Source organism: Homo sapiens, chromosome 3 (genome assembly GCF_000001405.40).
Source record: "Homo sapiens chromosome 3, GRCh38.p14 Primary Assembly".
In the NCBI taxonomy this organism is placed as follows: Eukaryota; Metazoa; Chordata; class Mammalia; order Primates; family Hominidae; genus Homo; species Homo sapiens.
Genome location: NC_000003.12, coordinates 129,444,693 through 129,467,780, shown reverse-complemented (window position 1 = coordinate 129,467,780; position 23,088 = coordinate 129,444,693). Strand labels below are relative to the sequence as shown.

Sequence of the window (23,088 nt, the reverse complement as noted above, 5' to 3'; positions counted from 1 at the left end):
TTGGAAAGTCTCAAGCTAGATCTCTACTGCCAAACTGAGATATCCTGGCTACCCCAGCTTTCCCCACTCTGGCCTGCCCATGTTTTCCCTACAGGCAATCTCAACTGAAGAGAAGAATGACTAGACAGCCAGGATTTGGGAGTGAAGACTGTGGCTAAGGTAAGGGCTTCCTCTCTGATATACATCCTAGAAAATGCAAGGTAAGGTAAGGGATAGTGTGGGAACAGGCTAAGAAACGTGTCCAGTAATAGAGGAAGTGTCGAGTGATGGGGCATCCACAAAAGGGCACACTTTTCAGACATTAAAAATCATGTTCTTCGAAGGATTTGTAATGTTACTGGAAAGGGTTCACACTATAATGTTAAGTGAAAAAAAAAGCAGAATATGACTTAGTTAATTATATGAACACACGAAAAGACTGAGGAGAAATACACTAGATTGCTAACAGTGATTTCCTCAGGGGATGGGGTTTTATCAGAAAAGTTGAACTTTCTCCTTTAGTCTTTTCAGTATTTCCTATAGTTTCTCACAGGATCACTTTATACCCACACACAAGTTTTAAGGGTATGTCTCCTTTTTTTGAAGGCGCTTTCACCCACAGTTCCCCCTAGTCCCTGCACTCCCTTGGCCAAAGAGTTTAACATCTGTCCTGGCAAGTCTGTGTGGGGCCTGGGCCCTTACCAGAAGGGTTCCCACTCACTGGGACACACTCACAAGTTGTCGTCCCTGGGACTGTCGTCCTCTTCCTCTGGTTCTTCCTCCTCTGCCTCACTACCCTGACTACTGTACACTGCTGACTTCAGAGTGGAAGGGATTTCCTGAATATATCTGTTGACAATGACATCCTCGGCATCCTCATTCTCTCTGTTCATCCAGAAACTCTCCCATCGGCTGTAGACAGTAAGTAGTTGTTCAAAATTACATTGCCTAGAACTACACTAAAACTATAATTTAAAATCCTGGCAAGGAGCCCCTGGGGGCCAGGTGCAGTGACTCACGCCTGTAATCCCAGCACTTCAGGAGGCCGAGGCAAGTGAATCGCTCGAGATCAGGAGTTCAAGACCAGCCTGGCCAACATGGTGAAACCCTGTCTCTACCAAAAATACAAAAAATTAGACAGGTGTAGTGGCATGTGCCTGTGATCCAAGCTACTTGGGAGGCTGAGGTGAGAGGATTGCTTGAACCTGGGAGGCGGAGGTTGCAGTGAGCCAAGATCGCACTACTGCACTGCAGCCTGGGTGACAGAGTGAGACCCCGTCTCAAAAAAAAAAAAAAAAAAAAAAAAGAATAAAAATAAAAAATAAAAGGAGCCTCTGAACCCTACCTGGAGGAGGACAGCCACCAGGTATACAGGGCCTCCTGCTTCTCATGAATTAAAAATGGTAGCCTAGAGCCACCAAGTCCTCTGCAGCCACAAATCAAACAGCAGGAACTCTGGGGCAGGCTAATGGCCTTTGACAGCATTAGACATGCATGGTACAGCATGGGCCAAAAAAAATTATTCAGGAAGAAGCATAATAACCTTCCAAACAACCTTCTAAATCAAGTAGGCAACCATCTGTAAAATGACATTGAGCTGGTAAACAAGTAGGACCTTTCGTTTACCCTCAGAGGACTCTGTAAAGGATACTGATGGTTTAATAATATTATAGGATATATAAAGAGCATATAGGGTCAGGCACAGTGGCTCACACCTGTAATCTCAGCACTTTGGGAGGCTGAGGTGGGTGGATAACCTGAGGTCAGAAGTTCAAGACCAGCCTGGCCAACATGGTGAAACCCTGTCTCTACTAAAAATACAAAAAATTAGCCAGGTGTGGTGGCAACAAAAAATTAGCCAGGCGTGCGCGGTGGCTCACGCCTGTAATCCCAGCACTTTGGGAGGCCGAGGCGGGTGGATCATGAGGTCAGGAGATCGAGACCATCCTGGCTAACAAGGTGAAACCCCGTCTCTACTAAAAATACAAAAAATTAGCCGGGCGCGGTGGCGGGCGCCTGTAGTCCCAGCTACTCGGGAGGCTGAGGCAGGAGAATGGCGTGAACCCGGGAAGCGGAGCTTGCAGTGAGCCGAGATTGCGCCACTGCAGTCCGCAGTCCGGCCTGGGCGACAGAGCGAGACTCCGTCTCAAAAAAAAAAAAAAAATTAGCCAGGCGTGGTGGCAGGCACCTGTAATCCCAGCTACTCAGGAGGCTGAGACAGGAGAACTGCGTGAACCCGAGAGGTGGAGGTTGCAGTGAGCCGAGATTGTGCCACTGCACTCCAGGCTGGGCAACCGAGCGAGACTCCATCTCAAAAAAAAAAAAAAAAAAAAAAAGAGCATATAATTAGTTTACTCTCAAAGTCACATGGACATAGAAAGCAAAGTGTGTATAAAATTTAAGAAGGTAGGTGCCAATTGTTTGTGTATCTCTAGGCTTTAGGGACGTCTGTAGACTTAATTTTGACTTTCTGACAAGGGCAAAAAAAGGCTCATGAAAAAGCTATTTATTAACAGGTGGGCACATATTCTGCCCAAACTTGGAGGGAAGAACTAAAAAAGGAAAGGCAAAAATAAAGCCACAGCAAAGAGCTCCACTATTGATTCATAAGGAAATGGTCCTGCTGCATCACTCACACACCACACACACACACACACACACACACACACACACACACACACACACACTCATATACATGTACACGTACACATGTGTGCATGCACATGTGCGCAGACACACACGCCACACACACACTTTGGCCTGTCCTAAATAGCTCATCTGCTTTGCTAAAATGTCCAGGATTCATTCCTAAACTCAACTTTTGAGGAGGCTCTTAATAAATTCCATACATTCTCAGGTAGCGGGACTATTAAAAAAAAAATCCATACAAATGGGACAGGTTCTAAAACAGACCATTCAAGTGAGGTGAGAAGCCTTTGAATGTAGGGAGACCTCAGGAAGACAAAAAGCCCTTCTTCATGATGGTGTTTGTTCTAGAAGGAGGACAACTTTAAGAGTACCTTGAAGGGTTCCAGCAGATGGACCATATTGGCGAGAGGGAGCCCCCCGGCCGCTCGATCTTTACTTTCTCCTCGCCATTTTTGTTCCGTATGCTGATGATCCCATTGAACATCCCCAGCGCCAGGTACTGACCATCATTTGTCCAGCTGTGTACACAACCAACAAAAGGCATGGGGATAGGGGAAGCACCCCACAGAAGGTAAAACTAGTGAGGATGATGCCTTGGTTTGAAATAAAAGTCTGATGAGGCAGCAACAGCTGGGATATGGTTTCATTATTGCCGGTCCTGACATAAAGTCAGAGGATCAAACTTAAAATGCTATTTAGTTCTGTAATAAACAGTGAGAAGTGAAGGCACCATTTGGTGCCTTTTTCTGAGCTCCCCCAGCCCTCTGTACATACCTCTATGACAGCCCTTAGCTTGTGCCTACATCTCTGGGCCAGCCACCACTTCCCACTCTCCATCTCAATCCCCTCCCACTTAAAGAGCACCTTAAGAACAGACTTGGTGTCTTCCAACCCCTAGAACAGTGCTTGCTTTGTAGAAGGTGCTCAACAGATGCTGAACGGAAGGGATATACTCCTAGAAGCTGAACAGCAAGAATAGCTACCATTTAGAGTGTCTACTGTACACCAGGTACTGTCCTGCACGCTTTACACTCATGAGTTTGTGTGCATTTCACAACAATCTCGTCAAGTCAGTATTTTTATCCCTATCTGTCAGATGAGGAACGTAAAGCTCCAGCTCAGAAAGATTTAGTAACTTTCCTGAGGTCACATGGCCTGTCAATGAGAGATTCTGGATTCTAATTCAGGTCTAGCATCAAAGTGTGGGAGGGAAAGCTTTCTTCCCCACACATGCTGCCTGGACAATGACAGCCTCACATTTTCAACAAGCCTCCACTCAGTATAGCTGGATGTTGAGGCTTGTTGCTAAGTAACTGCATGAAGGCAACTTGTAGTTCTCTTTTGCTTCATGATCAAAGGCACAAGTCTTTCCCATCGAGGAGACGAAGAAAGAAGAAAAAAGGAAATACAGGGGCCTAAACCAACTACCTAACACAAGACCTTCTCTGCTGCATGAAATAATTGGATTTTGAGAGTCTGTGTGGAAGATGAAGGAACATAAATCTTATCGTCAGAGCTGCACTTACCTGCAGCAGATGATCTTGCTGCTTGATTTGTGTTTGGAGACAGACTTCTGTTCAGGAGACCACAACCCTTCAATGCACAATAATATAAAAGAAGATGGATTGGTTGGAATACTACCCAGCAATAAAAAGGAACAAATAATTGAAACATACAACAACTTAGATGGATCTCCAGGATTTTATGCTGAATGAAAAAACATAATCTCAAAAGGTCATATACTGTACGATTCCATTTATATAACATTCTTGAATGACAAAATTATAGAAATGGAGAACAGATTTGTGGTTACCAGGGTTTGGAGATAACTGGAGGTAAGGTGAGTAGATATGACACTAAGTGGTAACTGCATGGTGATGGCTTAGTTCTGTGTCACGCTGATGGCAATCTACACATGCGATAAAACAACAGAACTATATAATATACACACTTTGTGCCAGTCTCAGTTTCCTGGTCTTGATATTGTATAATAGTTACATAAGATGGATCCACTGGGGGAAACTGGATGAAAAGTACATAGACTTCTTGGTACCATCTTTGTAACTTACTATGAATCTATCATTCTTTCAGAAGAAAAATAAAATAGATTGGTAAAGTTCTAGCCAACTTTTCAGGGATTTGACTCTCAAAGAAATGACAGTTTCATTGTTTATAACTTTGACACTGCAACCAGAGTATAACCTAGCATTTAAAATAACAATGATGCTTTCTGAAAATCTAGTTTTCTTTCATAGGTCTCAATCACAACACATGACTCTATCTGAGCTGTGCCTCTCCCATGGCACACTGGTCACCTAAGGCTTGCTCCCCCCTGTCCCAGATGCCCTGGCTCAGTGCCTCATAGCAAGTGTATGTCTAGACAACATAAGCAAATTCTTCTATTTGCCAAGTTGCGAAGTACAATCAAGAAGGTAACTCCAGTGCACAAATACATGGCCAAGTGCAACATCAAACAAGTTATTTTTTGCCTTTCCCCTGGTCCAGAACGCTTCCTCCAAACATTTTGACGTGTGCACATGTTATCTGTGTTCCACTAAGCCTGCCTGGAGCCCCAAGCTGGAAGAAACTCCTTCCTCCTGGGCCTCCTTCAGCAGTGCTTAGCAGAGCAGGCTCTGTATGCAATCACCTGGTCTAAAGTCCAAGCCCTGGTTCCTCCACTTACTAGCTAAGGGACCTCTACCTCTTTTTCATCAGTAGGGTGGGAATGAGAATAATACCTGACACCTCAGGGGCTGTCATAAAGCTCAAATAGAAATTCATTTCTAATCCTTAGAACAGTGCCTAGCACACTGCAAGCATTCAATAAATACTAGTACTTAATATTATATTTTTTTTAATCCCACCTTCTCCTAAGACCACAAGCTCCTTGAGGGTAGGGATTCTATTTTGCCTTTTTAATATTCCAGTGTAAGCACACAGACCAGTGCTTCACATGAAGAAAATGCTATAAAATATGTTAAACAAATGACAGGCCTTTCTCCATGTATTTATACAATTGGCTTTCAATTCCATTCTCTCTTTTGAACCTCAGAACCAGAACCGTATCAGTGAGACACAGTGAGTAGCATGCTCCTTTTAGATAAGGGAACTGGAACACTGAGAGGGATTAGGCCTCTGACTCCTCATCTAGTGACTTCATTGTATCCACTAGCAACGAACACAGACTGATAGAGCTGAAAACAGAATCAACCATTAATGGAAATAACCTACAAGCCTCTGCCCAATTTCACTCCCTTCCTCCCTCCACAGACATTTTACTGACACCTCTTTTGTGCCAGTACTACACCAGTGCTGTAATGCTGGCACGGGACCGTGGCCAGGATGAACTCCTCAAGGTGTTCAGCCCCTCAGGGAGGACAGCTACAGCCACCTAAACCAGTAATGACGACAAATTGCACAAGAAGTAGAACCGCAACAGTGAAGAATTTCACATAAACATAGATGTGGGTCAATACAAAGGTGAGGACAACTGCACTGTCTCTGCCAGGGTGAGTCAGGGAAGGCTTCCCAGAGGCAGCAACACCAAGGGAAGGCTTCCCAAAGGCAGCAACACCAAGTTATGCCTGTGCCCTCCCAATCTTGTTACCATTTCCTTTGCTGGGGCCCTTCCTGTAGTCTCTGATGTCTTACCAGAGTAAAGGTCACCATTCACTGTCTTGGTTTCCACACAATTTAAAGAATAACTGTCAGCCTCCCCTCAGCCATTGAAGGTAGAGAAGTAGTATTAACTCTCTCAGGATAAAATCACCATATTCTGAATGCATTTTAGCATTTTTAGCCCAGATTTTCAGTTATTCCAGGACAGGACATCAGGAATCAGAACGTACCAAAGTCACTGGAGGAACAAGATGCCAGTTGATGAGTAATAGGATTGTAGGAGACACATTGTATAGCATCATTGTGCCTGGGAAGTAAACAACTGTAGATTACTATGCAGCAAACCACAAAGATTTCAGTGGCTACAACTGAAGATTTTAATAATGAGCCCACAGCCTCTGACTTTAGACCACATGCTCTTCTGCAAGTGACCAACAAAAAGCACAGAAATTAATTCTCCTACTCCTAAAGAATTAATTCTCCTTCTCCTCACCCACTGTTTTCTTATTTGTAGAGATGGGGACTCACTTTTGGCCAGGTTGGTTTTGAACGCTTGGCCTCAAGCAATCAATCCTCCCACCTTGGCCTTTAGGTGCTTTATCTGTGGCTGTTACTCTTACTGTTTTGTGGAGGCCCAGAAATGGAAGATGGAGGTGCAATGAAGACATCACAGACCAAGATCTGGAAACATGACAAATCCTTAGACAACAATGAAAGCTGAGCAAATCATGTACCATGCAAGGCGTCTCAACCCGTTTTAGTCCTTCACTTGTGGGTAATACTTTACTTACAACTTCACTCATTCATTCATTCCTTCAAAAATTGTTTGTTGATTTGTACACCCATGTTCATAGCAGCATTATTCATAATAGCTAAGAAGCAGAAGCAACACAAGTGTCCATCAACAGATGAATGGATAAAGAAAATGTGGTCTATATATACAATGGAATAATATTCAGACTTAAAAAGGAAGGAAGCTGAGCCCAGTGGCTCACACCTGTAATCCCAGCAGTTTGGGCGGCCAAGGGAGAAGGATTGCTTGAGCTCAGGAGTCATAGTGAGACCTCGTCTTCATAAAAAAAAATAATAATAAAGAAAAAAAAGGAAGTAAATTCTGACACATGCTACAACACAGAAAGTAAATTCTGACACATGCTACAACACAGATGAGCCTTGAGGACATTACGTGAAATGAAATAACTCAGCCACAAAAGAACAAACATTGTATGACTCTACTTATATGAGGTATGTAAAGCAGTCAAACTCAGAGAGACAGAAAGTAGAATGCTGGTTTTCAGGGGCTGGGGGTAGGAGAGAAGGGTGAGTAGGTATTTGAAGGATATAGAATTTTAGTTTAGCAGGATAAAAGAGTTTGGGAGATTGGTTGCACAACAATGTAAATGTATTTAACATTAAACTGTAAACTTAAAAAGTAGTTAATATGATAAATTTTATGTCATGTATATTTTACCACAATTGAAAAGAGGCCAGGTGCAGTGGCTCGTATCTGTAATCCCAGTACTTTGAGAGGACTGCTTGAGCCCAGGAGTTCAAGACCAGTACAGGCAACAAAGTGAAACCCTGTCTCTACCAAGAAAAAAAAAAATTTAAAAATTGGCCTGGTGTGGGGGTGTGCACCTGCAGTTCCAGCTATTTGGGAAGCTGAAGTAAGAGGATTATTTGAGCCTGGAAGGTTGTAGTTGCAGTGAGCTAGTTACCACTGCACTGTAGCCTGGGAGACAGAGCAAGACTGAAAAGAAAGGAAGGAAGGAAGGAAGGAAGGAAGGAAGAAGGGAGGGAGGGAGGGAAGGAAGGAAGGAAGGAAGGAAGGAAGGAAGGAAGGAAGGAAGAAGGGAGGGAGGGAGGGAAGGAAGGAAGGAAGAAGGGAGGGAGGGAGGGAAGGAAGGAAGGAAGGAAGGAAGGAAAGAAGGAAGGAAGGAAAATTGGTGAGTACCAATTATGGGCTAGGCATTGTATCAGGGACACAAGAGTGAGAAAAAAAAAATAGATGTAGTCAGGAGATCGAGACCATCCTAGCTAACATGGTGAAACCCCATCTCTACTAAAAATACAAAAAATTAGCCTGGCATGGTGGTGAGCGCCTATAGTCCCAGCTACTCGGGAGGCTGAGGCAGGAGAATGGCGTGAACCTGGGAGGTGGAGCTTGCGGTGAGCCGAGATCGTGCCACTGCACTCCAGCCTGGGCAACAGAGCAAGACTCTGTCTCAAAACAAAACAAAACAAAACAAAAAATAGATGCAGTATCTGTTCTTATGGAACTTACAGGCCGATGAGCAATACTGATCAGTCACCAGAATAAACCTAAAACTGCAATTGTGAGAAATGCCTCGAAAGAGACCTGTTCCAGTCTAGAGAGGCAGGAAAGTCCTTACAAAGAAACTGACATTTGAGTCTGAGATCTGCAGGGTAAATAGGGACCAACTAGTAGAGGAACAGGGGAAGAACACGGCAGATCCCCAATAGTAAGAGGAGGCCTGGAGCACACTGACCCCAAGTTTCTGACATTTGACACTGGGTGGATATAAGGCCATTCTCTGAGACAGGGACACTGGAAGATGACAGGTTGGGGGTGGGATAAAGTCTACAATGTCAGATGAACTGAGATGAGCTACATAAAAGCACCTAGCCCAGTGCTGGCCACGCCAGTAAGTGGCCAAGAAATATTCATTAACTTATTCACTACTCAACCTTCCTATACCAACCACACACACCCACAACTTAATTTCAAGTTCAATTTAAGAGAAAAAAGTTTTCTCCTACATCTTTTCTAAGAGGCTTTTGCTGCAATTATTCAATAAGCATCAAACTCATAATACTGTACACCTAAGTTACTTACGTGTACTTCAGAATGCCTTCCAGTTTTGATGTCCAGATAATAACGCTTTTGTCAGCTGATCCAGAAGCAAAGCGCTTGCCTAAAAGTGTTTGTAAAATGGAAAGTCTTACATTTATCTTAAACCAGCATTTCCCAGAGAGAATTCTTTAGAAAACTAGTTCTTTAAGGTACCTAGTAAGTGTTAGCTTCTTTCCTAGTTCTTATCAGTACTGGGAGGCAGGACCTTGGAGTCAGAATATTTGGGTTCCAAACCTGCTTTGTCTGACACTGAGTAAACAAAGATGTATTGGGAGCCTACTACATGTAGCTGTCATGTTCTATGCTAGGGATTAAGTAATGATTAAAACACACATGATCCCTACTTTCATAAAGTTCAGTCTAGTGTAAGAAGTACACATCAAATTAATCTAACACAAATACAACATGGTAAGACACGGATCCTATGAAAGAGAATAACTGGGGAACCTGATTTACTTTTTTACTTAAATTTTTATTTTTGACAAATAATAATTATATCTACTTATGAAGTACAATGTGGTATTTTATATACATACACATTGAAGAATGATTAAGCTAATTAACATATCCATCACTGCAGATACTTATTTTTTTATAGTGAGAACATTTAAAATCTATTCCTGGCCGGGAACAGTGGCTCACACCTGTAATCCCAGCACTTTGGAGGGCTGAGGCGGGTGGATCACGAGGTCAGGAGATCGAGACCATCCTGGCCAACACGGTGAAACCCCGTCTCTACTAAAAATACAAAAACAAAATTAGCCGGCCTGGTGACGGGCGCCTGTAGTCCCAGCTACTCTGGAGGCTGAGGTGGGAAAATGGAGTGAACCCAGGAGGTGGGGCTTGCAGTGAGCCGAGATCACGCCACTGCACTCCAGCCTGGGCAACAGAGCGAGACTCCATCTCAAAAAAAAAAAAAAAAAAAAACTATTCCTGTGCCAGTTTTGAAATATACGCTATTATTAACTATGGTCACCATGCTGTGCAATAGATCTCAAAAATGTACTCCTTTTGTCTGACTGAAACTACCCTTTGGTCAACATCTCCTGGGGGACCTAATTTAGATGAGGGAACATTTCTCTAAGGATGAGATCCTTCAGTGGAGACCTAAAGGATGAGCAGAGCTTAGCCAGATGTAGAGAGGAGACAGACCCATCCACATGGATGGAACAGATGTGCAAAGGCCCTGAAGCAGGAAAAGCCTGGCATGTCTGAGGGAATGAGCGGAGTCATCATGGAACGGAGGGAAGGGTGAGGTGGGTTGTGGAAGGATCTCTTGGGACCTCAGGGACACAGCAGAGGCCTTGCTCTTTATCCTAAAGCAATGGGAAGCCAAAGAAAGGTTTTAAGCAAAGAGTGATAGATCAGATTCGCATTTTCATACTACTTGGGCTTTATGAAGGAACAGACTGGAGAGAGGCAACATATAACAAGTAATTTGTTATTAATTACACTGTTCCACATTTATAAGCATTTGGAAGAGGATCACGGTACCATGGCAGCAAATAACGGGGTCTTCACCTACTCTGGTGAGAGACGAGGATTAAGAGGTAAGTATGTGCCACATTCTGTACATCTTAAGGACTTTTAGACTTTATTCACAGGGCAAGTGGAAGGTGACCTTGGGCAAGTCACTGTTCTCTGAGCCTCAATGCCTTCATCTGAAACACAGAGGAACAGTATCTTCCTCAGAGTCTTTTTATGGGAGTCAACTAAGATAGTATCTGTAAAGTACCTTTTTTTTGAGACTAAGTCTCACTCTGTTGCCCAGGCTATAGTGCAGTGGCACGATCTCGGCTCACCGCAACCTCCGACTCCCGGGTTCAAGCGATTATCCTGCCTCAGCCTCCCGAGTAGCTGGGACTACAGGTGCCCACCACCACACCTGGCTAATTTTTTGTATTTTTAGTAGAGATGGGGTTTCTCCATGTTGGGCAGGCTGGTCTCAAACTCCTGACCTCAGGTGATCCGCCTTCCAAAGTGCTGTGATTACAGGCATGAGTCACCACGACTGGCCCTTTTTGAGACGGAGTCTAGCTCTGTCACCCAGGCCAGAGAGCAGTGGCATAATCTCAGCTCACTGCAATCTCCGCCTCCCAGGTTCAAGCAATTCTCCTGCCTCAGCCTCCCAAGTAGTTGGGATTACAGGCACACACCACCATGCCCAGCTAATTTTTATATATTTAGTACAGACGAGGTTTCACTGTGTTGGCCAGGCTTGTCTCAAACTCCTGACCTCATGATCCACCCGCCTTGGCTTCCCAAAGTGCTGAGATCACAAGCATGAGCCACCACACCCGGCCAAGTACCTTTTACAGTAGCTGAAATAGTAGATATTAGGGTGAGCCATATGATATTGCTGCAAATACTAAATAAACAAAGAAACTGCTCTTACTATTTCCATCACTCCTCCCTCATCCTGGTAGGTAGCAGGTGATGGTGATGAAAAGCATAAGCTTTGGGCTCAGAGTCTCTGGGTCAGAATTCCTAGAGATCTCACTGACCAGCTGCATGACCCAAACAAGCTACTGAAGAGCTTTCATTTCCTTATTTGAAAAATGGATACAATGTTAGTATTTACCTCATGGTTGGTGTGAAGATTAAATGAGTGTATGTACATGTGTACATACAGTTGACCCCTGAACAACATGAGTTTTAACTACATGAGTCCACTTTTACATGTGAATTTTCTTTTGCCTCTGTCTCCCTGGCACAGCATCACCAATCCCTCTTCCTCCTCCTCCTCCTCCTCCTCCTCCTCAGCCTATTCAACCTGAAGACAATGAAGATGAAGACCTTTATGATGATCCACTTCCATTTAATGAAGAGTAAATATATTTTTCTTTTTTCTCAATTAACATTTTATCTAGCTTATTTTAAGAATACAATATATAATACATATAATATTAAAAATGTGTTAACTGTTTATGTAACAGGTAAGGCTTCTGGTCAACAGTAGGCTATTAATAGTAAAGTTTTGGGGGGTTCAGAAATTACATGCAGATTTTTTATTGCACAGGCAGTGGCACCCCTAACCCTTATGTTGCTTAGAACTGGGCCTGGAATAGAATTAAAAAAAAATTAGCTATTTCTATTATTTCTTCATATTATATTGTTTTTCTTGAACAAAAAAACTATGTCTTACATACTTTTATATCATGGTTGCTCATTAAATACTTATTAAACTTGGGCCAGGCATGGTGGTTCACGCCTGTAATCCCAGCACTTTGGGAGGCCGAGGTGGGCGGATCACGAGGTCAGGAGTTTGAGATCAGGCCGACCAACATGGTGAAACCCTGTCTCTACTGAAAATACAAAAATTAGCTAGGCATGGTGGCGCGTGCCTGTAGTCCCAGCTACTCAGGAGGCTGAGGCAGGAGAATCACTTGAACCAGGGAGTCAGAGGTTGCCATGAGCCGAGATCGCGCCACTGCACTCCAGCCTGGGCGACAGAGCGAGACTTCATCTCAAAAAAAAAAACAAAAAAAACTTAATGAACTTAAAGGAGAAATCAGAAACAAGCAGACTTAAAGAGCAAAGCTGGAATTCAGTGTATCTCAATCTTCAGGTCTAAGAGGAAAAAACCAATTCTGAGGACTAAAAGACTTCTTAATCATTATACAGGTGTCATGAAGAGGCAGCATGATACACTAGAAAGAACAAAGACTCTGCAGTCAGAGAACCTGGGTTAGGCCTGCCTCTGCCACCATCACCTGTAATTGCTCCAAGTCTGTTTTCTCATCTTTGAGCGGAGATAAGAGTCCCCTTGCTGCCTGCTTCAGAGAGTTGTTGGAAGCATCAAGTGAGATGTGTGTGACAGGACTCTGCAAAGTGCTGTGCAAATGCCACTACTGATGGGTCACACTCTGACATCCTCAAGTGCCCTAATGGTGTTGCAGGTCAAAGAGCCCTGCTATGCTTATAAACACCAGAGGCACCAGAGGCCCAATAGCTCTTCTGTACCTACTGGGCCTTATACTGGGCCCTGGACTGACCCACATTCCTCAACAGCCACTAGGATGAGACAGAAACAGTTCAGCTCTCCAGGCTCCCTCCTCACAGGTCTCCCTAAAACATTATTCTGAACTTGAACTCAAACATGCACACACACACACACACACACACACACACACACACACACACACAAATATGACTACCATGGTACAGCACACCTGACTATGAAGCAAGAAATTAGTTTTGTCTTTGGGCCAATCTGCTGCATGGCCTTGGCAAGTCACATGACTTGTCTTTTTTTTTTTTTTTTAAGAGACAGAGTCTAGCTCTGTCACCCAGGCCAGATTTTAGGGAGTCTCACTATGTTGCCCAGGCTGGTCTCAAACTCCTGCCTTAAGCAATCTTCCCAACTCAGGCTCCCAGAGCTTTAGGATTTCAGTAGGATTATAGGCATGAGCCACCGTGCCTGGCCAATTGTTTATGTCTTTATGCAGGACTAAAGTGAAGAGACTGGACTAATCAGACTAAAATTATATGCATGAAATTCTGCATACACATGAAGAATTTGCATCTTTCTAGAAAGTGGTCTAAAGCTTCCATCTGATTATCAAAGAGGCCCATCAGCCAAAAGAAGTTAAAAACCTGGGACTGGAATAATCTCCAAGGTTCATTCAAGAATTATAACATTACAATTTTGTGACTTCTTGGCAGTGGCTACAGAATGTTATCTCAATGTTATCCATTTGATACATGAAGAAATCGTGACTCAGACTCAATAACCAGCTCAGACTCACAGAACTCTGGTGTTGGGTTGGGGTTGGAACTCACAACTGTCTCATTCCAAAGCCCATTTCTTCCCACTAATCCTATGCTGTGGGACAACATGGATTTATTTTAAAATAAATTTAAATCTCAGTTTCATGCACCACTTCCCTTCCTTCCCAACCCACCTGGTACCCCAACTGTAACAATCCTTCAACACCACCAGAACCTACTACTTCTCCATTGCTGTCCTCTCTCCCTTCATTATTCAGCCAACAATTCAAGGTTAATGTACATAATTATTTATCTGTATACACTTTCTGCTCCCTTGCCCTCCTACTTCATCTTCAAATGTGCTTGCAAAACCACCTCTGGTTAAATTCACCTCTTCTGCCTCTACAACTATGCAGCTCAAAATCGCTGGAGAAAAAGACACAATCACACCAACTAATCTCACTTTCAATTCATGATCACAATCTTCAAGAGGGCCCTTCATGTCACCGGGGATCTCACTACACCTCCTGGGTCCACTCGCTGTCCCATTCTCTGAGGCAGTGACTTTACACTTTTTCCCTTTCTCTTCAACTCTCTGAAACCTCCCTTCCCCATTGCCACTCTCAGTTGCTGTTGCTTCCTATTTCACTGAAGAAAAAAAAAATGGAATTGAGAATTTCCATTAGATTCCTACTACCACATTGTCCCCATCTGCTGGCCTCTGCAGTTCCTACTGTGCCCCTATCTAAAGCAAATACCCCGTCTATGCCCTAGATCCCATCTCCTCTTGCCTACTCAACAACTCTGTTCCAGCAGTTCTCTCCCCTCTCCGACATCATCAACTTTTCTCAAATTCAGCATGTATAAAACTGAATTTCTGATCTTCAACCATAACTTTTCTCTACCTGCAGTCTTTTCCATCTCAGTGGGGGGGGCAACTCCAACCTTTCAGTCCTCAGGTCAAAAACTTGACTCCTTTTTCTTCATAGCCCATATCCAATCTGTCAGACAATCCAGTTGGCTCCACCCTCCCATTATATCCAGAGTCTGATAATTTCTCATCACCTCCTCTGCCCCCACAGAGGTCTGAGCCACCATCACCCCCTGTCTGGATGATGCTTCCTCACACAGATGTCCTAACCCTCACCTCTTGCAGGTTGTTTCCAACTCAGCAACTAGAGGGATCCTTTTAAAATACAAATCAAATCAGATCCCTCCTCTGCTGAGGACCTTTCAGTAGTTCCATTTTGACTGAGAATCAAAATCTTTATGATCTGACCACCCCATGTCTGTTACCACTTTATCCTCATCCTCTACAATTCCCGATTCTCTTTGATCCAGCTCCTAGCAGCCACACCCACACCTGAGGGCCTCTGCAATGGCTCTTCCTCTGCAAAGAGCTCTCTTCCCCCCGATGCCCACTGGCACAATCTCATTGCCTCCTGACTTCAAAGTCTTTTTCCTCACCTGTCCTCATCTCAATGAGCCCACCCTCACTAGTCTAATTCAATACTGTACCCAACCCCCTGCCCTGCCCAGCACTCTCAATCCCCCTCATTCTGCTCTACTTTTTCTTCTTCCATAACAGTTATCACCTTCCAGCATACTACTTAATTTACCTTTTTACTATGTTTACTGTATGTCTTCCCTCATACTTTCTTCCTCCCTCACTTCTCACCACCACCCCATAAAACAGAAGCCCCATAAGGGGAGGGACCACCGTTTTTTTCTCTGAAGTAACTCAAGCACCTTGAACAGTGCCTGGAACATAGATGACCTCAATAAATACTTGCTAGATTGAATGACCAAACTGAAGTCTTAGCAACTTCACTGTCTTCTGAACTTGCAACTTGTACTCCAGCTTACTAGAAATAATTAAAAAGTGACTAAAGAGAAAAATGAACAATGATGAGGCTATTATAGAGAATGGAAACCCAGAGCAGCCTTTTACCATCCTTCGCATATGCCACACAGTACACAGTGTCTTTGTGTCCCTTGAGGGGCTGAAGTAAGGTGCCATCAGAGGTGTCATAAACCTGGCAAAAGAGACAAATACAGATTATCTATGTGATATCTATTAGTCAGAATTCCTGCAGGGTTGCTACTGCTATTTTTGTTTTTATAACAATACGTGTCAATATTCTAAATCTGTAGCCAATAAAAACTGCACTGCAAAACCAAAAACAACGTGACTTAAAGTTGGGTAACCAAGAAGTAGAGGACCCAGGTCTATGTACTATGTGACCAGGAATATACTACCAATCCTTGAGAACCAAAGGTTCAATTACTCACTCCATGGAAATTCTTTATACTCATCCTTACCTGAATTTGGATATATGATTGATCAAGGCAGGCCCTCCTAAATAAAACTAGCCCATAAAAAGAGCCAGCTACAACATGATTAAATTTTAATGCCAGCTCTGCACTAAATCAACATAATAGATGTTTCATATTTGCTACCAAGAATTTGAAAGTCACAGAACTCTGGGCTTTCAAGTAGGAGGGAATGTTATAAAACCCAACTGTAGGCCAGGCATGGTAGCTCACTCCTGTCATCCCAACACTCTGGGAGGCTGAAGTGGGAGGATTGCTTGAAACCAGGAGTTCAAGACCAGCTTGGGCAACTAAGTGAAACCCCATCTCTACAAAAAATAAAAATAAATAAAAATAAAAAAAAATAAAAATTAGGTGGACGAGGTGGTGTGTGTCCACAGTCCTAGCTACTCGGGAGGCTGAGGTGGGAAGATCCCTTAAGCCCAGGAGTTTGAGGCTGCAGTGATCTATGACTGCACTACTGCACACCAGCTTGGGCAACAGAGCACAACCCTGTCTCTAAGAAATAAAATAAAACCCAGCTGTAATATGGATTTAGGTATTTGATAGCCATGTGACATCTATCACTATGTGGAGAGTTTAAAAACACACCATCTGGCCGGGCGCGGTGGCTCACCTCTGTAATCCCAGCACTTTGGGAGGCCGAGGTGGGTGGATTACGAGGTCAGGAGATCGAGACCATCCTGGCTAACACGGAGAAACCCCGTCTCTACTAAAAATACAAAAAATTAGCTGAGCGTAGCGGCAGGCGCCTGTAGTCCCAGCTACTCAGGAGGCTGAGGCAGGAGAATGGTGTGAACCCGGGAGGTGGAGCTTGCAGTAAGCCGAGATCGCGTCACTGCACTCCAGCCTGGGCGACAGAGCCAGACTCTGTCTCCAAAAAAAAAAAAAAAAAAAAAAAACACACACACACACACCATCTGAGAAATCAAGCGGAAACTTTCTGAAATGGTTAGAGTATTGGAAAAGATAACCTATGTAGAAAAACTAATAGAGTTTGGATTGTTTACACTGGAGAGAAGTCTGCAGAACAATTTAACCATGTTTTAAGATTATGTAGTTAACCATACAAAGAATGGAGATTAATCAGTCTGCGTATCTAGAGACAACAGAGAAGAGGAAGTAGACTTAGACAGAAAGAGAGATCATACAAAGGTTTTTTGGTCAAACATAAGGGGTTCTCTGAAAATTACTTTTATATACCTGGATAGGTTCCAGAGGGAGCTTATGTTATTTGAAAATATGAAAAATAGGACAACATCCATATGGAACTGTTTAGATAGGCCAATGCCTAAAAGTTGGGGTCAGGCTATCTGACTTTTCATGGACACAGCACCGTCAGTCCTGTTGCTTGAATTTTTCTGGGGGACAAAATGTAAACTGACACCAGTCCAGTTTCAAAGGCATTGTGATTGTTTTCAACTCTTTCATGGGTGTCTCAAAGTAAAAAGGGAAAGATGAATGACCCCAAAGGTGGTATTGTTCACAGGTTCTTATCTGATAGTTTACTTGCCCGTTTTAAATAGCCCATTTCCATCCCTATTAAAAAGTAATAGGGAAGGTTTTTCCACCCTTGCCTTTTTAATCTCAAAAAAAAAAAAAAAGGGTCAAATTTCAGAGTACTCACAAGAGGGAGGTTAGGGAAGCACTTTAAGAGGAAACTAAGACAAAATCCTACCAGTAATCTGCTTCCGGCAGCCAAAATCAGTTGAGTTCCATCAGGCTTAAATGCGATGTCATTTATACTGAACAGAAGACAAGGGAAAAAGACAATTAGGAACCAAAATGATGAAGTCTGCTAATGGCCAGGAAAGTAAACTTTATTGCCATTAAGAAACACTGTGTGTGTACTGAGGAGAAAAAGAATAACTACGAATTGCATTTGTTGCAAATTCCATTCAACCGCCACACCACAGCAGCCCATTCAATCATGATCCACTCAGTAGTTAGCTCTTTGTCCTGATTTCCTCTTGTCCAGAAGCCAGACACAAGAAATTATTCAAAGGGTCAACTGTTGAGGGTATTAACTCTTCTAATAATATCATAAAGGCTAGACAACATGAGAGAATGTGTTAAGGGCCAGTAAATCCACAGATACTTACTGAGTCCCTCTTAGGTGCCAGGCACCAACAGATATGAACAGATCATAATCCCTCCCTCCCCTCAGGGAAATTACTATCCAGTGAGAAGGTGTGAAACAGACACTTTCACAAAGAACTACCATATGTCATCAATTCTAAAGCTTACATTTTTTTTTCACATTTTCTCACCTCTAAGGTTGTGTCTTATAATTGATGATGTTTCAGTGTAACTGGCAGCATTTTTTGCTTTCTTATTGATACACAAAACAATGGTATTTTATAATCAATGACCTATTAGATTGGATGAAATACAGAACAGTACTCTGATAAAGGCTTTAAGAGACACATGAAAACAGGATTCGAAGGAGGAAGACGCAGTGATACAGGAGCTAGAAAGAAATTATTTAGCCAGATAGTGAAGGTAAAAGAGTCTTCGGCAGAACTTCCCTTTTAATAAAAAGCAGCCCAAGAAATTATTTTTTTCTAACAAAGAGCAGCCTGAAAAATCGAGCTGCAAACATAGATAGGCAAGCTGAGGCCTGGCGCAGCGGCTCATGCCTGTAATCCCAGCACTCTGGGAGGCCAAGGCAGGAGGAAGACTTGAGGTCAGGAGTTCGAGACCAGCCTGGCCAACATAGTGAAACCTTGTCTCTACCAAAAATACAAAAATTAGCTGGGCATGGTGGTGGGTGGTGAGCGCCTGTAATCCCAGCTACTCGAGAGGCTGAGGCAGGAGAATCACTAGAACCTGGGAGGCAGAGGTTGCAGTGAGCCAAGATCATGCCACTGCACTCCAGTCTGGGCGACGGAGGAAGACTCCGTCTCAAAAAAAAAAAATAAATAAATAAATAAAAAGGCAAGCTGGAAGCTTGCACTGGTGAATGCCGGCAGCTGTGCCAATAGAAAAAGGCTACCTGGGGGCCAAGTATGTTCAACATGGAGGTTCTGTCCTCCCTTTAATTTGTCACCACGTGTACAGTAAAGAAACGGGCAACATGGCGCTGGCCACGTAAATAACCCAACTGCATAATAAAAGATTAGGGTGGGGGTGGCCAGCTTTTCGCACCCAATGCAAATGACACACCTAGCCCTAACCAGTTTTTCGAAAGTTATGCAAATGAAACACCAATCCAATCAATCTTTTGTGCCCTATGTAAATCAGACACCACCTCCTCAAGCTTATCTATAAAACCTGCATTTCACCACAGAGGTGGCAACTCATTTTTTCGAGAACGCTGTCAGCTGCAGTGAGCTCTTCTCTTTCTTTCGCCTGTTAAACTTCTACTCGTAACCTCACTCTGGTGTGTCCGTATCCTAGTTTTCCATTGCTGTTGAGACAACAAATCTCGGATATTTACCCCAGACAATGACGCCGCTTCAACAGCATTTTAATTCAAGGAGAGGATCAGAAAAAGATTAATGAAGAAGATATTTGAAAAAGGTAGGGCTTTTGAAACATGGAGGAGGACACTGGGTAAAGGACATTTCAGGCAAAGAAAATAAAACAAGCAAAGACATGAAAGTGAGAAATAACAAGTGTAAAACAAAAATAAAATTGTAAGCCCCCCCAACCGTCTGAATGGACTTCCTCCTCAACCAGGGCTCTTTTAAAATTTAACCTGAGAGACTGTTTCAGGCCATGACGGGAAGTGGGCCTCTGACATGCCTCATTGTACCTCTCCGGCATTAATATCAACACAGACTTTAAGTATGATAAACATTTTAGGCTGGGTGCGGTGCTCATGCCTGTAATCCCAGCGTTTTGGGAGGCCGAGGCGGGCGGATCACGAGGTCAGGAGTTTGAGGCCAGCCTGACCAACATGGTGAAACCCTGTCTCAACTAAAAATACAAAAATTAGCCAGGTGTGGTGGCGGGCGCCTGTAATCCCAGCTACTAGGGAGGCTGAGGCAGGAGAATTGCTTGAACCCGGGAGACAGAGGTTGCAGTGAGCCGAGATTGCACCACTGCACTCCAGCCTGGGTGACAGCAAGACTCTGTTTTGCAGGGTGAGAAGAAACATTTTACAACCTATTCTTTCTGAAGCCTAGTACCCGAAGGCTTCCTCTGCAAATAAGAACATGGGTCTCCACAATCCTTTATCTTAACCCAGACATTCCTTTCTGTTGATCCCAGGTCTTTAAACAAACTCAGCCAATTGTCAGCCAGAAAATGTTTAAATTTACCTATAGCCTGGAAGCCCTCACTTTGAGTTGTCCTGCCTTTCTGGATCAAACCAATGTATTTCTTAAATGTATCTGATTGATGTCTCATGCCTCCCCAAACTGCACCCCAACCACCGTGGGCACATGTTCTGTGGACCTCCTGAGGGCTGTGTCACTGGCTGTGGTCACTCATATTAGGCTCAGAATAAATCTCTTAAAATATTTTGCAGTTTGACTCTTCTTGCCAACACAAGTAATCAAAATAATTTAATTTGACTGAAACATCTGGCTATGTGCAAGATGTTGCTAGAACATGGAGAAATGAGGCTAGAAAAATGGGCTAGAGCCATATTACAAAGATTTTTCAAATGCCCCAGGCAGAGGATTTCATTGGTTCAGGTGACTATAGTAAGAATGTGTCAAAAACCTGTCAAAACAGACTATTGTTAAGGTTACTACTGAAGTTACTCAAAACAAAACACACAAAAAACAAACAACAACAACAAAAAAACAAAACCCAACCCATAGTAAAAGTTTAGCATGGGATAAACTTGCCAGTGTCAACAAAAAATCAAACTCTGTAAAATATCTGAAGAGATTTATTCTGAGCCAAATATGAGTGACCACAGCCCATGACACAGCCCTCAGGTGGTCCTGAGAACATGTGCCCAAGGTGGTCAGGGTGCAGCTCGGTTTGACACATTTTAGTGAAACATGAGACTTCAATCAAATACATTTAAGAAATGCATTGGTTTGGTCCAGAAAGATGGAACAACTTGAAGCAGGGGGCTTCTAGCTTATAGGTTGATTTAAAATTTTTCTGACAATTGGTTGAGCTTATCTAAGGACCTAGGGTCGGCCGGGCGCGGTGGCTCATGCCTGTAATCCCAGCACTTTGGGAGGCCGAGGTGGGTGGATCATGAGGTCAGGAGACTGAGACCATCCTGGCTAACACGGTGAAACCCCGTCTCTACAAAAAATTAGCCAAGCATGATGGCGGGCACCTATAGTCCCAGCTACACGGGAGGATGAGGCAGGAGAATGGCGTGAACCCGGAAGGTGGAGCTTGCAGTGAGCTGAGATCGCGCCACTACACTCCAGCCTGGGCGACAGAGTGAGACTCTGTCTCAGAAAAAAAAAAAACAAAAAACCTAGGTTCAACAGAAAGGAATGCCTGGGTTAAGATAAAGGATTGTGGCAACCCAAGTTACTGTTTGCAGAGGAAGCCTTGAGGTACTAGGCTTTAGAGAGGAGAGTTTGTAAAATGTTTCTTATCATACTTAAAGTCTGTGTTGATGTTAATGCCAGAGAGGTATACTGAGGCATGTTTGACCCCCATTTCCCATCATGGCCTGAAACAGTCTCTCAGGTTAAATTTTAAAAGAGCCCTGGTTGAGAAGGAAATCCATTCAGATGGTTGGGGGGCCTCTGAATTTTATTTTTGGTTTATACCAGTAATCTAAAAATCAAGCTTTTGTCAGTAACTTGGAAGTACACTCTCAATGACAGTACTTCGAACTCTTATTCCAGACAGCACCTGCTGAGCTCTTAAAATGCATTATTTTATTTCATCTCCACAATAATTCTGTGAGGTAGGAATTATTACTCTGTTTTGTAGATGAGGATACCATGGCTCAGAGAGGTCAAGTAGTTTGCCTGATGTCACACAACTAGCAAGTGCAAGGGCCAGGATTTCAACTCAGGTCTGACTCTAGAGTCTGTGCTTGTAATTAACGCGCTATGCTGCCTTCTGCTCCCTTGAATTACTGCCAAGTATGTCAAATCTGTTATCCTTCATACTTTAATAACAGTGACTAACATTTATTGAACACATTTATTATTGTGTATGCCAGGTACAGCTTAAATGCTTTACATGTATTAACTCATGTTAACCTCAAAACAACTGTATACCTGTTTCACAGATGAGAAAACTATGGTACAGAGAAGTTAAATAACTTGCCTGAAAATAAAGTGCTACTGAATGGAAATGGAGCCAGGATTCAAACCAAGGCAATCTGTTTTTTTGTTTTTGTTTTTGTTTTTTTTGAGGTGGAGTCTTGCTCTGTCACCCAGGCTGGAGTGCAGTAGCAGGATCTTGGCTCACAGCAACCTCTGCCTCCCAGTTTCAATCGATTCTCCTGCCTTAGCCTCCTGAGTAGCTGGGATGACAGGTGCCTGCCACCACACCCAGGTCATTTTTGTATTTTTGGTAAAGACAGGGTTTTACCATGTTGGCCAGGCTGGTCTCGAACTCCTGACCTCAAGTGATCCATCTGCCTCAGCCTCCCAAAGTGCTGGGATTTTAAGTGTGAGCCACTGCATCCGGCCTCAAACCCAGGCAATCTGGCCTGAAGCCCATGTTTTAACCATTATGCTATGTGGCTGCCATTATCATTGTTGGCATATGTCAAAAAAAGGTATTATTACCTACTTAAGGCATTACATGAAGAATTCAGAAAGCTTTTAATATGGCTCTGTTGACCTGACGCTTCCTTTAATAAAAACTCTTCACAGTTATTCAATATTTAAGAATTGTTAAAGAGTGTAAACTTGGCCAGACATGGTGGCTCACGCCTATAATCTTAGCATTTTGGGAGGCCGAGGCAGGCAGATCACGAGGTCAAGAGATGGAGACCATCCTGGCCAACATGGTGAAACTGTATCTCTACTAAAAATACA

At 43.3% G+C, this 23,088-nt stretch overlaps 1 protein-coding gene across 25 annotated transcripts in view, besides 2 other annotated features; it reads right to left on the bottom strand.

Annotated features, from left to right (window-relative positions):
• IFT122 (intraflagellar transport 122) overlaps window positions 1–23,088 on the bottom strand; it is an 80,284-nt gene that overhangs the window by 52,727 nt on the left and 4,469 nt on the right. For 6 of the 25 annotated variants that reach the window (NM_001410808.1, NM_052989.3, XM_006713691.4 and 3 more), the window contains exons 2-8: window positions 17,844–17,910; window positions 15,783–15,867; window positions 9,104–9,182; window positions 6,477–6,553; window positions 4,155–4,221; window positions 3,000–3,146; window positions 715–891 (exon numbers count right to left, since the gene is read on the bottom strand). In NM_001410808.1, coding sequence (NP_001397737.1) covers window positions 715–891; window positions 3,000–3,146; window positions 4,155–4,221; window positions 6,477–6,553; window positions 9,104–9,182; window positions 15,783–15,867; window positions 17,844–17,910 — 699 coding nt within the window. Of the gene's footprint in view, window positions 1–714; window positions 892–2,999; window positions 3,147–4,154; window positions 4,222–6,476; window positions 6,554–6,774; window positions 6,928–9,103; window positions 9,183–11,516; window positions 11,668–15,782; window positions 15,869–17,843; window positions 17,911–23,088 lie in introns of those variants that run through there. The other 19 variants (NM_001410810.1, NM_018262.4, NM_001410811.1 and 16 more) reach the window with 9 other exon arrangements.
• Window positions 17,679–18,395: an enhancer, noted in NCBI's record as "H3K27ac hESC enhancer chr3:129168229-129168945 (GRCh37/hg19 assembly coordinates)". NCBI's record gives its function as "activates a minimal SCP1, AML or CMV promoter by ChIP-STARR-seq in naive H9 embryonic stem cells {active_cell/tissue: H9 hESC(naive)}" and the evidence as "EXISTENCE:reporter gene assay evidence [ECO:0000049][PMID:30033119]".
• Window positions 19,141–19,435: an enhancer, noted in NCBI's record as "tiled region #8693; HepG2 Activating non-DNase unmatched - State 23:Low, and K562 Activating DNase unmatched - State 1:Tss". NCBI's record gives its function as "activates a minimal TATA promoter and a strong SV40 promoter by Sharpr-MPRA in HepG2 cells, with weak activation in K562 cells {active_cell/tissue: HepG2 | K562}" and the evidence as "EXISTENCE:reporter gene assay evidence [ECO:0000049][PMID:27701403]".